This window comes from Homo sapiens, chromosome 4 (assembly GCF_000001405.40).
Source record: "Homo sapiens chromosome 4, GRCh38.p14 Primary Assembly".
Classification (NCBI taxonomy): Eukaryota; Metazoa; Chordata; class Mammalia; order Primates; family Hominidae; genus Homo; species Homo sapiens.
Genome location: NC_000004.12, coordinates 73,255,551 through 73,272,175, shown reverse-complemented (window position 1 = coordinate 73,272,175; position 16,625 = coordinate 73,255,551). Strand labels below are relative to the sequence as shown.

General features: G+C 40.7%; 1 protein-coding gene, 1 long non-coding RNA gene and 1 other non-coding gene across 16 annotated transcripts in view, besides 4 other annotated features; 1 reads left to right on the top strand and 2 right to left on the bottom strand.

The window, feature by feature from the left end:
* The window catches only part of ANKRD17-DT (ANKRD17 divergent transcript), a 99,858-nt gene extending 86,848 nt beyond the window's left edge, over nucleotides 1–13,010 (bottom strand). For both annotated transcript variants that reach the window (NR_187399.1, NR_187400.1), the window contains exon 1: nucleotides 12,768–13,010. This is a non-coding gene — a long non-coding RNA (ANKRD17 divergent transcript). The remainder of the gene's footprint in view (nucleotides 1–12,767) is intronic.
* Nucleotides 8,092–8,216, bottom strand: LOC124900180 (small nucleolar RNA SNORA3/SNORA45 family). The gene has a single exon (XR_007058528.1). It is a non-coding gene; the product is annotated as a small nucleolar RNA SNORA3/SNORA45 family (small nucleolar RNA).
* Nucleotides 12,729–13,325: an enhancer, noted in NCBI's record as "NANOG-H3K27ac-H3K4me1 hESC enhancer chr4:74124568-74125164 (GRCh37/hg19 assembly coordinates)". NCBI's record gives its function as "activates a minimal SCP1, AML or CMV promoter by ChIP-STARR-seq in primed H9 embryonic stem cells {active_cell/tissue: H9 hESC(primed)}" and the evidence as "EXISTENCE:reporter gene assay evidence [ECO:0000049][PMID:30033119]".
* Nucleotides 12,857–13,126: an enhancer, noted in NCBI's record as "active region_21610". NCBI's record gives its function as "activates an Ori minimal core promoter by ATAC-STARR-seq in GM12878 lymphoblastoid cells {active_cell/tissue: GM12878}" and the evidence as "EXISTENCE:reporter gene assay evidence [ECO:0000049][PMID:35858748]".
* Nucleotides 13,287–13,686: a silencer, noted in NCBI's record as "silent region_15476". NCBI's record gives its function as "represses an Ori minimal core promoter by ATAC-STARR-seq in GM12878 lymphoblastoid cells {active_cell/tissue: GM12878}" and the evidence as "EXISTENCE:reporter gene assay evidence [ECO:0000049][PMID:35858748]".
* ANKRD17 (ankyrin repeat domain 17) overlaps nucleotides 13,378–16,625 on the top strand; it is a 185,423-nt gene continuing 182,175 nt past the window's right edge. For all 13 annotated transcript variants that reach the window (XM_005265671.5, NM_198889.3, NM_015574.2 and 10 more), the window contains exon 1: nucleotides 13,378–13,900. In XM_005265671.5, coding sequence (XP_005265728.1) covers nucleotides 13,508–13,900 — 393 coding nt within the window. In that variant the 5' untranslated portion in view covers nucleotides 13,378–13,507. The remainder of the gene's footprint in view (nucleotides 13,901–16,625) is intronic.
* Nucleotides 15,726–16,226: an enhancer, noted in NCBI's record as "H3K4me1 hESC enhancer chr4:74121667-74122167 (GRCh37/hg19 assembly coordinates)". NCBI's record gives its function as "activates a minimal SCP1, AML or CMV promoter by ChIP-STARR-seq in primed H9 embryonic stem cells {active_cell/tissue: H9 hESC(primed)}" and the evidence as "EXISTENCE:reporter gene assay evidence [ECO:0000049][PMID:30033119]".

Below are 16,625 nucleotides of genomic sequence, written 5' to 3'. Positions count from 1 at the left end.
GTACTGAAAGAAAAAAAAAAACTTATCAATCTAGAATTTTTTACCCAGTGGAAATATCTTTCAAAAACAAAGATGAAATAAGGATATTTTCAGATATTAAAAGAAGCTGAAATAATTCATCACAAGCAGACCAGCACTGTAAGAAATAGTAAAGGAAAATTTGGTATTTTTTTCTTTTGCTTTTCCTTCAAGCAAAAGGAAAATAATACCAAATGAAAACCTAAATAAAAGAATGGAGAGCATCAGAAATGGTAACAACATGAACAAATATAAATACATTTTTATTATTTAAATGTCTTTAAAAGATAACTGACTCTTGAAAGAAACAACAAATATAATGATAATGTACTATGGCAGGGGTCCCCCAACACCCAGGCTGCAGATCAGTACTGGAGGTGAGTGGTGGGCAATCGAGCATTACTGCCTGAACTCTGCCTCCTGTCAGATCAGGAGCAGCAGGCATCAGATTCTCATAGGAGCACAAATGGTATTGTGAACTGCACATGCAAGGGATCCAGGTTGTGCACTCCTTATGAGAATCTAATGCTTGACGATCTGAGATGGAACAGTTTCATCTCAAAACCGTCCACCCCACAATGGTCTGTGGAAAAACTGCCTTCCACAAAACTGGTCCTTGATGCCAAAAAGGTTGGGGACCACTGTACTATGTGGTTTATAAAATATATAGAAGTAAAATGTAAGGCAAAATAGTACAAAGGTCAGGAGGGGAAAATAGAATTGTACTATTTTAAGGTTCTTGCGGTATATGTTAAGTAATGTAATACCACTTGAAGGTAGAACATAACAAATATGTATAATATAAACCCTAAATCAATAACTTAAACTTTATGTCCTATTACTGTGAATTATAAAGAATTATAGCTAATAAAACTTTATATATCGTTATTGTGAATTAAAAAGAATTATAACTAGTAAGCCAACAAGGGTGATAAAATGGAATAAATATTACACAGTTTTTCTAAAAGAAGGCAAAAAAGGAAAGGGGGAAGAAGAAAAGATGGAACAAACAGAATACAAATAGAACCAAAATTATCAATAATTAAATTAGATGTAAATAGTCTAAACTCTCTCATTTAAAAACCAGAGATTATTAAGATTGGATAAAAATGCAAGATTCAACCATGCTTAACATACAGCTTAAAAATTAAGGGAAGAAAAAAATATACCATCCTAATACTAATCAAAAGAAAGCAGACAAAATAGATTTCAGAGCAAATAATATTACCAGAGATAAGGAACATAAAATGGACAAATTATTTGAAAGATACAAACTACCAAAACGCATTCAAGAACAAATAGATAACATAAATAACTCTACATCTATTAAAGAAATTGAATTTGTACTTACAAACCTTCCCACAAAGAAAACACTGGGTCCATATGGCTTCATTGGTAAATTCTATCAAACATTTAAGCAGAAAATAACACCAATTCTACAAAAACTCTTCCAGAAAATTGATAAGGGAATATTTTCTAATTCATTCTGTGAGGGCAGCATTACTTGATACCAAAACCAGACAATGACATTACAAGAAAAGACAACTACAGACCAGTATGTGTCATAAAAATACATGTAAAAATTCTTAGCAAACTTTGGGAGGCCAAGGCGGGCAGATCACGAGGTCAGGAGATTGAAACCATCCTGGTGAACATGGTGAAACCCCGTCTCTACTAAAAATACAAAAAGATTAGCCGAGAGTGGTGGCAGGTGCCTGTAGTCCCAGCTACTCGGGAGGCTGAGGCAGGAGAATGGCGTGAACCTGGGAGGCGGAGCTTGCAGTGTGCCGAGATCGCGCCACTGCACTCCACAGCCTGGGACAGAGCCAGACCCCGGATCAAAAAAAAAAAAAAAAAAAAAAAAAAAAAAAATTGTCAGCAAAATTTTAGCAGAGCTAATACAATAATATACAAAAAGGATAATACATCATGACCAAGTGGGGTTTATCTCAAAAATACAAGGTTGGTTTGATATTCAAAAGTTAATCAGTGTAACTCATTGTAAAAACAAGAAAGAAAAATCCTATGATTATCTCAACAAATACAGAAACAGTATTTGAAAATACAAAATACATGCCTGACAAAAACTGTCAGAAAACAGAGAACAGAAGAGAACTTCCTTATATTGATAAACAGTATATGTGAAAAATCTACAGTTAACATCACACTTACGATCAGGAACAAGGAAAGGATATCGATCTTACCACTTCTAATCAGCATTGTAGTAGTGGTTCTAGCCAGTGAAGTCATGCAAGAAAAATAAAATCTCCATTTGGAAAATAAGAAGTATAACTCCCTTCATTCACAGACGGCATGATTTCTGTGAAGAAAATCCTATGGAGTGCATAAATAAGTTACTAGAACTAATACAGGAGTTTAGCAAGGTTCCAAGATACCAGATCGATATATAAAGTTAATTATATTTCTGTATATAGTAGAGCATCATTTCATATGTTTATTTTCCAGCCATATAGCTTACTTAGTGAATTGTCTATTCAAATATTTTGCCCACTTTTAAAAAGGTAAACATGTATCTATCATGTGACCCAGCAATCATATGAAAGCATGCCTGGTCGCAATCTTTTTTTTTTTTTTTTTGAGACAGAGTCTCGCTCTGTCGCCCAGGCTGGAGTGCAGTGCCGCGATCTCGGCTCACTGCAAGCTCTGCCTCCTGGGTTCACGCCATTCTCCTGCCTCAGCCTCTCCGAGTAGCTGGGACTACAGGCGCCCGCCACCGCGCCCGGCTAATTTTTTTTGTATTTTCAGTAGGGACGGGGTTTCACCATGGTCTCGATCTCCTGACCTCGCGATCGGCCCGCCTCGGCCTCCCAAAGTGCTGGGATTACAGGCGTGAGCCACCTCGCCCGGCTGCATGCCTGGTCACAATCTAATCTCGGGATGAATATGTGACCATACATGGCAAAGAGACTTTGCAGATATGATTAAGACAAGACTCTTGAGATGGGAAAGTTATCCTGCATTATGCAGGCAGACCTAATGTCATCACAAGGGGCTTTAAAAGATGGAAGAGGAAGGCGGAAGAGTCAGAGACAAAGTTATGATGGAAGCAGAGATTGCAGTGATGCGCTGTAAGATGGAGGCAGATGCCATCAGCCAAGGAATGCTGGTAACATCCAGGATCCAGAAAAAGTAAAAAGAATCAGCCCTGGAGTCTAGATAAGGAGTGCAATCCTGTCAACACCTTGATTTAAGCCAGTGGAATCCATTTCAGACTTCTGACCTCCAGAACTGTAAGATTATAAATTTGTGTTGTTTTAAGCCACTATCATGCAATTTATTGCAACAGCAACAGGAAATAAATACTGTTGACTTCTGAGAAGATTCTTTTGTGGAGCTTCTATTTTTACTTGGATAAATTTATATTCAGTACCAGAATGTAAAAAAAATGCCTATTATTATTCATTATCAAATTTATATAAATTTCATAAAAGGCCAGGCGTGGTAGCTCACACCTGTAATCTCAGCATTTTGGGAGGCCAAGGCAGGCGGATCACTTAAGGCCAGGAGTTTGAGACCAGCCTGGCCAATGTGGTGAAAACCCATCTCTACTAAAAATATAAAAATGTACTGGATGTGGTAGTGCATGCCTGTAATGCCAGCTACTCAGGAGGCTGAGGCACGAGAATCGCTTCATCCTGGGAGGGGGAGGTTGCAGTGAGCTGAGACCGTGCCACTGCACTCCAGCCTGGGTGACACAGCAAGACTCTGTCTCAAATACATACATATATACATACATACATTTGATATAACATTTAAGGAATCATAAAACAGAGATAACTTAATGAGCTTTGTCTTATAAAAATATTTGTCAAAGATCCTCTAAGTGGAGGCAAAAAAGACAATAACTGAAAACATTTGAGCTGAAATATTTAAATATTTAATAAGATAAAATCAGAATTGGGAATATACTCCATTTGGTATAATTTGCTCTGAGTTTACCAGATACCTATATTAACCTGTAGAGAGAGTATGTTCCAAAATTAAAATACTGAGGTAACTGAGAAGAGTCAGTTGAGGGCATCAGCAATTTTAAATTCATTAGCTGTAAAATGAAATGTGGAAGTTTAGAGATACTTTTATTAAAAATTATAATCATATAAAAATATATTCTTCAGAAGTAAAATATACCTGTAACATGACATGAGACAGATACAGTTAAGACAATGATTAAAATACATGAATATGTACAGAATTTATTATGGTTGTAACTTTTTAATGTATTGATAATCAGTATTAAGCAGTTTGTTTTCAATTTTCTCTAGTGTACCCAGATTTATTTTTGAAAATATTTTATTTAATTAATTAATTAATTAATTTTTGAGACAGAGTCTTGTTCTGTCATCCAGGCTGGAATGCAGTGGTGTGATCTAGGCTCACTGCAACCTCCGCCTCCCAGGTTCAAGTGATTTTCCTGCCTCAGCCTCCCAAGCAGCTGGGAATACAGGTGTGCACCATGACACCCGGCTAATTTTTGTATTTTTGGTAGAGATTGGGTTCCACCATGTTAGCCAGGCCAGTCTCAACTTCTGGCCTCAAGTGATCCACCCGCATTGGCCTCCCAGATTGCTGGGATTACAGGCATGCGCTGCTGTGCCCACCCTTGAAAATATTTTTTAAACAGAACTATCTTATAGGTTCACCAATATAATAAAACCAATTTGTCAACTCATACATATTATTAAACATTATGTATATTTGATTGATGCTTCATTTTATTCTTAAAGGTATCTCCATTTGGACAATAAATCATGTAGTCAATTATATAGTCAACCTGGGCATTAGGTCTAATAGTAATAGGTACATACACTGCACCTACATTGTTCTTGGACCTACGTATTCTGTTTACTAGGAGAAATGGACTCTGATTCCTGTAGGCCAGTACTTCCCAACCTGCAACTGGCATCGTAACTGAGTTCACTTTGTGAGTATGCTATACTAGTCCTACTGGAAGTATAGTTCACAAAGGTATGAGGGCTCCTCTATGACTGGGTTTCCCTGGAGTTTTTGACTCTCAGGCTTGTCCACAGTGAGCCTTCAGCATTTCATCAATTACAGTTCAGGTTTTCCTACCCCAGCACTGGTTCCCAGAGGTTTCTGCTCTGGTTATGATTTCCTGTATCTTCCTATCTGTCTCTCCAATTTTGAGGGCAGCAGTTTTCCCTGTGTCCTCATTTCTGATGAAGTTAAGAAGAGTTGTTGATTTTTGTTTGTTCAGCTTTTTACTTGTTATTAGGATGCAGTGGCAAGTTCTAAGCCCCTTATATGAGACTAGAAGCTCTGCCTGCTTTCAAAATTCATTGCTGTGTAAAAATATCAGTTTGCTTATGCTTTATTTTCTGGATTAAGTTACATGATATAAAACGTGCACATCTGAGGATCTGAGAAGATCTCTAGGTGAATTCCTGTATTTCAAGGGACTATTATACTACTTATTCCTTGCACAAAAGATATTCAGAGTTAAGCAGTTTGTAAGCTATACCCAGTGCCCTAAATAGTACTGTAGGTGCTGTATAAATACCATAGATACTTAATAAACATTTGTGGAATAATCTACAAATGAATGAATGAAAGATTTCCCTGGAACTCCTTGGATTCTTTCCAGTTTCACCAGATCACTCCCTAGTTTTCTAATAAACTCGATTTGTCCTGAGAAAGATAGAGGAAAGGAATTGTTCTAACTTTTAATATTGTTATTAGTTGTTAATATACTAACTTGGTCTGAATATGAACCTTGAAAATGTTTCTCCTGATTTTCAATTTGAAAGTACAAAATTCAGAAACTTGCAAATCTCTGTGTAAGGAGTTGTTCTATGCAATAACCACTCTAAGTCTTCCAAACAGTGACAAAAATTGCTAAACTGACAAACATAAAACAAAACAGAAAACTAAAATGTGGGTAGCTTATTTGTTTAGTAACAAGAGTTAAGTGCATTATTTTGTTGTAGATTATCTTTTGCATACTTTTATTCTCAAGCTGTCTTTCTCTGTTATCCAGGAATCTCTACGTTTCCCCATTCCCTTGTTCCCTTCTTTACCCAACCTAGGAGTACATGCAGAAAAACAATACTAATTTTAATTTCAAACTAAACGAATTTTAAGAGGTGAGATATATATTTGGGCAAATTTAACATGAGGGACATATTACCCAAATAACATTTAGTTGACTTTAAATGGATTTATTTAGGTAGCAGCTCTGTTCTACTAATGTGCCCAGTAGTTAATTACTATTTGTGCTAGACTGCCATCCCCAGCCTTCAGCTTAACTAATTTTTACTGGGCTCTGGTTCCAGAGCAGTGGACTAAGAAAATTATTAATGCTAGAGAAGGGTAGTAAGAGGGTGAAGGGGATTTCGAAATCATGCCATATAAGGAGTGATTAAAAAGAGAAGGATGTTTCCCTAAGGAAAAGAAGACTAGGGTAGATTCTTTATCAACATGTATCTCAAAACCCTTAGCATGGTCCACAGGCCCTGAATCATCTGTCTTCCACTTACTTCTCCAGCCTCATCTTGCAAACATTCTCACTTTCAGTGTTTCAGCTCTTTTGGCACAGTTTGATACCTCCTTTTTTAGGCCTTTTGCATATACATTCCTTTGGCTAGGAAGATTCTTCTCTGCTTTTTGGCCTATTTCCTACTATAGATCTCTGTTCACATATTACTTCCTCAGGGAAGCCCCAAAACAAAACAAAAGTTTCTAGCTCAGGTTTCCCTTGCAGCAGTTATTTCATTTGTGTGTCTCTCATGCTAGACCATAAGCTTCAAGATAGAAAGAACCGTGTTTGTTTTGCTAACCATTTTCTCACCTAACCCAGTGCCTGGTATGTAGCAGGTAGGCAACAAATACTAAGTGAATGAACATCCATGCTTATTCTGGCTAAATTGCTGTTTTCAACTCAAATGTCAAAAATTTCTTAAAAGCCCACACCGAAACAGTAACAACAACAAAAAAAGATAGGTGACATGAGTGAATAAGGACTGGGCATAATAGGAATTTATGGAAACTGTAGAGAATTGAAGACAGCATGCATTGTATAAAGGCATTCAAAAGTCAAACAACTCTGAAATGCTGTAATGACAAAGTATATAGCATGTTCATATATCACATTTGGCTATAGGCTGCCAGTTTGCAACACCTGTCTTAAGTAAATTGATATATTAATTATATATAATATTGTAGAGGGCATTTAATTCCATGAGAAAATGCTCACATATACTAAGTTTAAAAAAAAAAAAAAGCATGCTCCGGGATATCTTACTGGTGGATTGAAAAATAAAAATAAATAAAAAATTTTAAAAAGCATGCTAAATACAACAGTGGCATTCTCATTTAAAAATACACAGAGAAAACAACTGTGTAAAGGTTTGTACTAAAATGTCAACAGTGGATATCTCTAGATGATAGAATTGCATGTTCTGGTATGTGTGCTTTTTTGTATTTTCTTAGTATTTTACAATGAACATGTAGTGTTTTTGTACTCAGAAATAAATTGTTTTTACAAGGTAGAGAAGTAACTCAGGTGTCAATGTGGAGGATAAAGTAGAGTATAATAGGATCAGAGGCAGGGAGATTGACTATTGCAATAATGTGGGTGAAAACTCATGAAAGCCTAATTAAGGCAGTGGCTGGGAGGACAGTGGTTATCAATGTTACCTGGTCCTCTCTGCTTAAACATATGCTTCAATTTCTACTTGATTATAATTGCTTATGTTGGGCAAACTTTCAGGTGGAAAGCAGAGCACAAGCCACTGGCTCGCTGTTTTGTCTATTTTTTTATTTTTTAGCATTTGTTGGCATTTAGTGAACCTCTTTCCCTATGGCTTCAAGCCACCAGGACAAAGGTCCTCCCCACCACCGTCTTAATCTTTTTCCAAGCTCTTCTGCTACATAATTTGGCCTTCATGATGACAGACTGCTTTAGGAGATTTTCCTTCCCTAGCACTTTGTAGTAGCTCTAGAACAGAGAAAATAACTTACACTGTGGAAGGTACCAACTCCTTGATGGGAATGAGGAAAGATGCCTGCCAACCTACTTTCTAAAACCAAGGTACAGTATGTTTCTGCCCGGACACTTAAGGGGACACTGGTTGCCCCCATCAGTGAATCAAGACCAGCAGATGCTGAGGACTCCAGCACATTGGAGAAGAGCCGTGTCAGGATGTGACTCTAGTCTCAGAGAGCTCCTCTTTTGAATTCCCAAGTCTTCCTGGCAGTATCTATCCCTTACCTCTTGGAATTTCAATCGAGTAGAAACCCAGGAAATATTTCTCAATTCATGGGATATCTTCCCCTTCTGCAGTATCATTGAGACTGCCTCTGTTTCCCTGTAAGATTTCATTCTTAGGCAGGTTCACTCGACATGATGACCAAAGGCCAGATGTAGCTTGTGTTTTTTTTTTTTTTTTTTTTTGCTTATTCCAGAAGCAGGTGTCTTTTTCTTGATAGTGCTAGCCCAAATGATAAGACTATCTCTGATTAACTTCAGTTTTGTTAATCTGCCCATTCCTGAACTAATCACTATGGCTGAATGATAGGATACTTTGGCTAGCCTGATTTGTGGGCCTACTCCTGTGGTATAAAAATTAGAATTAGGTAATGAACGATTGCATCTGGAGAAAGAGGGACAGGTCTTTATTAGGGCACGCTCTGAAATCTCAGTGGCCTAACACAAAAGAATGCGTATGAGCTGTAGCACAAGTGTCCCTAATTGGCAAGCAAGTATCCTCCCAGTGAAGAGTCAGGAAACTCTAGCACAAGTGTCTCTAATTGGGAAGCAAGTATCCTCCAAGTGAAGATTCAGGAAACCAGGAGTCCTATCTTGCGGCTTTGCCATCTTTAACACATAGTTTCCAGTGCAAATTTGCTCATCTGCCTCAAGTTGATGGGGAGTGGGATATATTGGATTGCTCATGTGATGTTTCCATAGGCCAGAGCTGGAATAGGAGTGCATCACTTCTCACATTCCACTGGTTAGAACCTAATCAGCACACCTAACCCATATACCTAATTGCAAGAGAGGCATGGAAATATAGCTGTGTGGCCAGAAGAATTTAGCATTTGCAAGAATCTACTATTCTGATCACTAAACATGTATTTTACCTGTCTTTCCACACACAGAACATACCCTGTCCCAAAGGAGACAATCTAAAGTTTTAACCAGTTACTGGAACAGGCTCAAAGTCTAGGATTTTCAGAAAATGTGCAGTTCTCTTCATTAGGTACAGATGTGACCTAAGAACTAAAAAGACAAATTATCTTTATTGTCACCCCCATCCCTGCAAACCCAATATATAGTGGTAACTCAGGGACAGATAACTATAATACATTCTCTCATTCAGAAAAAAAATGTGATACTGAGCAATACTATTCATGTATAATAATGATGAAATACTGCATAAACATTTTGCGGCCCATCTCCTTGAAACTGAAGAAAGTTCTGATGAAACTCCAATTCTAGTCTTCAGGAGAAACTCCCTGTCCAGTCTTTAGTACAGCTCCTTATACGAGCTTCTGAAATGTTCTTTTTTTGTCCATCATTCTCCATGGCCACATCCTGTGTGGGTACTGGGGAGCTGTTAAGGTTTTATGCTCTATTTTTCTACTTATGCAAGCTTGGGGTTGGACAGTTACCCTCTGTTTTAACACCCGAACAATGATATTTGAGCCAGATTTAGTATGATTAATAAAATTCCTCTAAAAATGTAGTCTTCTGATTGATTTGCTTCTGGTAACTACACCCAAAGTTCTTTCTTACATAATTATCAAGCCTAATTTACTGCTTTGCTGCCTTGCTCCTATGCCAGTTCCTTTAGACCTTTATCGTAGCTATCTTGAAGCCATCTAAAATAATGACTTTGAATGGAAAGACCAAACCCTTTTCCTGATCTTTGTTGCAGGACTTAATCTCAAGGGTAACTATACTCAAGACCTCTTCTAGTTTTTTTTTTTTTTTTATTAGAAGTCTTATAAAAGTCAACTTTTCCAACCCTTCCTGAGAAATATTCCTGTACACTCTCACTTCTGTGAAGTATTTCCTGAGTTTCTCTCTTTAGTAAAACCTTACTAAAAGTAAAATGTAAAATTCAACACAGTATTACTTTTGCTCTTTTCAATCATTTCCTCTGGAGCTAATCTAAACAGATAGGTGATCTGATTTTGAATTATTTCAGGTGACAGTTTTACTAATTACTTTGCCACTGCAAACATGGGCCTCCTTTTTCTAGCCTCCAAATCACATTCTCTACCACCTGCTGCATCATAAATAAGCTGATGTAACATATTTTAGGTTATTGTTTTAGCAGTACTCCACTTCTTGTACCAATTTCTGGACTAGCTATGGTCATTCTAGCTCCTATACATATAAATTCTCAAATCTCAATTTTTTCTCTTACAGTAAGTGCAAAAAGGGGTGTTTCTAATTGGGGTGGCTGTCTTCCAAGTACTGTTTCAGCCACTCATTCTTCTCTTTTCTGGCTTTGGCATCTCCAATACATAGTTTTGAAGGTCACCATGCTCAAAGGCATCAAGTTGACGAAGAAAGAGTAAGGGAGAATAGGAGGACTTCATTAACCCTAAAAATGAGCACATCATTTCCATTCATATTTAATTGGCTAGAAGTTAATCACGGCCAGGCTCGGTGGCTCACGCCCGTAATCCCAGCACTTTGAAAGCCGAGGTGGGGGAATCACCTGAGGTCGGGAGTTCGAGACCAGCCTGACCAACATGGAGAAACCGTGTCTCTACTAAAAATACAAAATTAGCCGGGTGTGATGGCACATGCCTGTAATCCCAGCTACTTGGGAGGCTGAGGCAGGAGAATCGCTTGAACACGGGAGGCGGAGGTTGCGGTGAGCTGAGATTGTGCCATTGCATTCCAGCCTGAGCAACAAGAGCTAAACTCTGTCTCAAAAAAAGAAGTTCATCACATGACTATAACCAACTACAAGGAAAGCTGTGAAATTTAGTTTAGCTGTGTGCCCGGGAAGAAGAAATAAGTTTCATGGGCTAGTCAGTCCCTGCCAGAGGTTCTAACGGGGGGAAAAAAAGATAAAAATAAAAGAAAGTGACTTTACATGCCTTGTCCATTTTAATAGTTTTGAACCTTATCCTACTAGTGAAACAGGATCATCATTTCACTATTATATTAAAGAACAAAAAACTCATTTTCTTCCAAACAATGAGATTACTTTAAAGAGAGCATTTTTGGTAGCACAGCACGATAGACACAGAGACTAGACTGCAGAGGGCTGACAAGTCAATTTCAGAAAACAAAAAAGACACTGATTGTAGACACTTTTTTTTTGAGATGGAGTCTCGCTCTGTCGCCCAAGCTAGAGTGCAGTAGCAGGATCTCAGCTCACTGCAAACTCCGCCTCGCAGGTTCAAGCGATTCTCCTGCTTCAGCCTCCTGAGTATAGAATACTTTTTAAAGAAAGAAAGTTTGCTTGTGAAGGAAATAATTGAAAGCTACAGAAGAATTAGCTAAGGAACCAGAATTTGTAGAAGGTTGACAACAGAAAAGATAATAAATGCATGAGAAAGAGGGGTATTGGAACTAGAATATGTATGAAGAGTTTATCTCATATATGAACAGGGAGTCTCTCATTCGTTGATACTGGAGAAAAGGCAATCTCAGGAAATTTCTAGCACTTGGAAAATTGTGAAGTCTAAGTTAAAAGTCATATAATAAAATGGGCTGGGATTTAAAGATTGCGAAAAGTATTCAAGTGGAAAGGGAGAAAAAGATGCTGAAGAATATACAAAGTAGGAGGGAGGGATGCAGCTGAAATTATAAAATCTAAATCAGTAGTGGTGAGATACACAATGCAGTGCTCTGTTCTACACTGGAACTCAGCAACGACTGTAGGAGAGGAATAGGCAGATGGTTACCACTCCGTATATATATTTACTATAGCACTTATTACACTGTAAAGCCCCTGGAAACAAGAGACTTTGATTCCACAAATTATGCGCACAGTAGGCACATGATGAATTTTTGTTTGAATGAATTGATTTAGTCATTGCCAATTCTGCCTTGGTACTCTGTAGAGTACTGGCAACTGCCCACATTTCATATGGTATGCCAATGCTAAAAAGAAAAAAAATGCTAAAAAAAAAAAAAATCCAGGCATATTCAGCTAAACTAAGCAGTCTTAAAATGGCAACTATGTCAGCTGAGACATACTTTTAATCTTGTGCCAGTACATCTGTCTTTGATGTTTGCTTCATTTTCCGTATGCCACTATACTCCTACTAGACCAGAAAGGGATAATTCTGAGTTCAATGGGCTCCACTATCATTTCAAAAGTCCTGAAACTTCTTCAGACACCTAAAAATGAACCCACAACTCCCATAACAGCATTCCTTCCGAGAGAAGTATACAGACAACAATCACTATTTATGCTTGCTTCCAAGCTGAATCGAAGAGGGCCGGAAGAGCTAAATCAGGGTCATTCAGTGAATCGTCTACAAAGTCTGGCACAGACCACGCATCCTTCCCGTGTCTTCCTCCCCTTGGAAACTTGAGGTGTAAGTAATGATCTTAGACATCTCCTAATCGACTGCCTTCATATTACACACGTGTAAACTCAGGTAGAGGATGTCTATGAGCCGAGCTTAAACTCAGGTAAAGAAGGCTCTTTTCCCAACACGACGCCATCTCTCATGATCCAAAGCTCTATCTCTCGATTTGGCGGTGGAAAAAAATGACCAGGAATAAAACTACGTACAGCAGTCCAGAACGAGGCCCCACCTCCCGGATCTGGCGGACCGGCCTCCCGTCAGCAAAGTGTCTGGACCGCGCTTCCGCACCTCACACTGCCCGGGGCCGGCTCCTCTCCAGCCTCCCCGTACTCCCCACACGCCGCAGCACTGCGCGCCCGCGGGGCCCCAGACCCGGCCCTTGAAATCTCACTTTCGCCTTTCGGCCACCCGCGCGCCACGGCTCAGGCGACGGCTGATGGCGTCACTGCACTTCCGCCTGCGGCTGCGTTCTAATCACAAGCCAGGAAGGAAGAAGGGAGGGCTGCAGGGCTGTGTGTGCGGGAAATAGCGAGGAAAGAGAAGAAATCCGGGAGCTCGCGGGCGCTCTGGTTGCAATCGCGCCCCCCTCATCTGTCCCCGCCGTTCCCCTTCGGAAGCTGCCCCAGGCACACTTCCCCGCTTCTTTCCAGTCTCCTCTCCTCTGGTTCTCCCGACACCCGGTCTCCCTGTTACGCCTCACCCTCCTTCCCTTGCTCCCTCCCTCTCCCTCCCTCCCTCCCTCCCATCGTCAGGCTCCCCGCCCTTAGTATCGCGAGACGAGGTGAGAGCTGGCGGAGCGGCGGCGGCGGCGGCGGCAGTAGAGGTGACCGAGGCGGTGGCGGCGGAGGCGGCACCGATTGCTGTGTCGGCCCCAGTGCGGCCGAAGTCGCGGTAGAGCGTAGCCCCACGCCCCTCCCCCGTCCGCGCCCTCCCTCTTTCCCTGGGGATGGAGAAGGCGACGGTTCCGGTGGCGGCGGCGACGGCTGCAGAAGGAGAAGGGAGCCCCCCGGCGGTGGCGGCTGTGGCGGGCCCCCCCGCGGCGGCGGAGGTCGGCGGCGGCGTTGGCGGCAGCAGCAGAGCTCGCTCGGCCTCGTCTCCTCGTGGGATGGTGCGAGTCTGCGACCTGCTCCTGAAGAAGAAGCCGCCGCAGCAGCAGCACCACAAGGCCAAGCGTAACCGGACTTGCCGACCCCCCAGCAGCAGCGAAAGCAGCAGCGACAGCGACAACAGCGGCGGCGGTGGAGGCGGCGGTGGAGGCGGAGGTGGCGGCGGCGGCACCAGCAGTAACAACAGCGAGGAAGAAGAGGACGACGACGACGAGGAAGAGGAGGTTTCTGAGGCAAGGGCCTGGTTTCAAAGGAAGGAGGGAGGAAGGGACTGTAAGGGATAGGGGCCGAAGGTGGGAGGGGATTTGGAGTGGGACAGATTCCAGTGGGTTGATCTCTTAGGGGCCAGGCTTTCGACTGCCCCCTTTCTTCCCTCGGCCTAAATCGTGAGGTGTGGGAATGTGGGGGAGGGTAGCTGACACGTGGGGGTGGGAGGACCACGGAGTTCACAGAGTTGGTGAACAGCCTGTTATCATGGGATGGCTCACTTGGTTAAGGATGGAGGGAATTGGTTAGATTCCCTGTTTGCACGCCGGGGGGTGGGGGGGTGGTCTGCCTGGGGCCAGTAGGGCCACCTTAGTCTGAGGCGGGATCGGGATCAAAGCGGGAGGAGTAAAATAATGGGTAAATGAGTCTCTTGGGGACCAACTAGGAGGTTGATCAACTTCTCCCAGTTGTGAGGTGGAGGGGAGCAGTTTGAGGGGGGACGTAAGGTTGTAATGGACTCAGAGCTAAGTGTTTGTGTATGTGAGGGACACGTGAGAAGCTGTACTTTTCCATACTGTTCTGCAGGGTTTTTCGTAACTATCCTGGCTGCTGAAGTAACTTCATTTCCTCGATCTCCCAGGGATTTTCGATGAACTGATGCTGTATTTGTATAAATTTATCAGTAACTTTAAATAATTACAAATGACCATATACATTTGTAAGTGGATGAAAAATATATTTGATCCTTACACGTACATACATACATGCCTTCGAATGTTTCCTTAGTGAGTTAGAATTAAGCTAGGACCTGTTGTCCCGTAATATGGGACAGCCAAAGGGTAGGCTTTGGAGCCAGGCCTGGTTGTGGTGAGTTGGAATAGGAAGGCCTCTCGGTTTGTCCTAGTGATCTGGTTTCATAATAACTTTATAATTTTTCCTGGGTCCACAGACAGGCGGCGTTGCAGGACCTTATTCCTCACAGAAGCCCTTACAACCCAAAGGCTCAGTAAAACATACCATACTGACAACCAACTGAGAGTTAGCTTTACTAGTTATTAGCTGTTTTACCACTCTCTTGTCTCCTTCCTGAAATAGAATCTAGAAAAATCTTTATTTGGAGAGGGAAATCTTTATCAGCAGAGGGAAAACAGCTTTAAAGGCTGATTTTAAACTTAGTTCTAAGAGGAGACCAAGTGATTCATCTAAAAGTACCACTTACTATTTATTCTCTTCCACAAACATGGAACTTATTTTGATGCAAGTCTGGTTTTCCGAAAATTGGAATTATTGAATCCTGGTCTCTGTTGAAATAGAGAAGTACCTTTTAAAGGATTTGACACATGTCTATTTGTAGAAGACCAGATTCTCTTTTATCTCAGACTGGATGAAGTTGTATAGGTAGAGATATTAAGTGCTGAAGTATGTATGACAAAAATATGCCAGTCCTTGTTTTTATTCCCTTTTAGCCTGTTGGATTCTGAGAATAGGTTTGTATTGATAGACTTATATTGGCCTACTTGGATGTTTAGGATAGTGTGTTGCTCTGGCGGCATTTGAAACAAGGAAGAGAAAGATGTAATGGGGTCCTTATCCCTAATAAAATTTGTTATGGTACTTAGAATCATTCAATTGTATGATTCTTCTCAAAGGTGAGAAACATTTTACAGGTAATTCAGCCCTTTATTTTAAAAAGGAGGAAAACAAGGTTTAGAGGAAAGTGGTTGTGGTGGGTAGTAGCAAAAGTACAAATCAAAGTTTTCTAATGTCTCAGACCTGTACACTTTTTAATAATAATTTATTTCCTTTTATCACCCTCCTGATATCATTCAGAAAAATAGTTACTGAATAGCAAGGTAACACAATCATGCAGCTATAGGCAAAATACCATTACTTAAAATTTTAAATTCTCGTGAAACTATTAAGCTCTGGTTTAGAGCAAGGTTATGATAGTTGAATGCAGTACTTACTGGGATATTCTGCTGCAAACTTAACATACCTAGGTAGTTTTGTCCATTGGAATGCGGCCTAATAAGCAGAACTTTTAGTAATTCCTTAAATCATGAAGAATGGCTGTAAGTTTGTAGGTATGTTTATTTTGTGGGTCAGGTTTGTTTTCCTTTTGTAATATAGGAATGGTTATGTTGACTTTCACCAACTATGGTAGTATTTCTATGTTTTTAACATACCTTATCCTGTCTTTTACATGGTGTTAAACAATGGGTTTGTCATTTATGAAGATGAGTCAGGAGAAATACGTGTAAGAAAGTGTGCCCATTGGCCGGGCGTGGTAGCTCACGCCTGTAATCCCAGCACTTTGGGAGACCGAGGCGGGCGGATCACCTGAGGTCAGGAGTTTGAGACCAGCCTGGCCAACATGGTGAAACCCCATCTCTACTAAAAATACAAAAAAATTAGCCGAGTGTGGTGGCAGATGCCTGTAATCTCAGCTACTTGGGAGGCTGAGGCAGGAGAATTGCTTGAACCCGGGAGGTGGAGGTTGCAGTGAGCTGAGATTGCACCATTGCAGTCCAGCCTGGGCAACAAGAACGAGACTCTGTCTCAAAAAAAAAAAAGTGTACCCATTTAAAAAATCTATACAGATGAGGGATGAGCAGACAAAAAGGAGTACAGATTGTCTCTGCCCCATCTTCATCTTTTGATCAAAGTAAAGACAAATAAAACTGTAAGCTAAATGGGTGAGTTGTGTAATGTTTTTCTCTTAATTACCATTTTACTGACATGTCAGCAGAA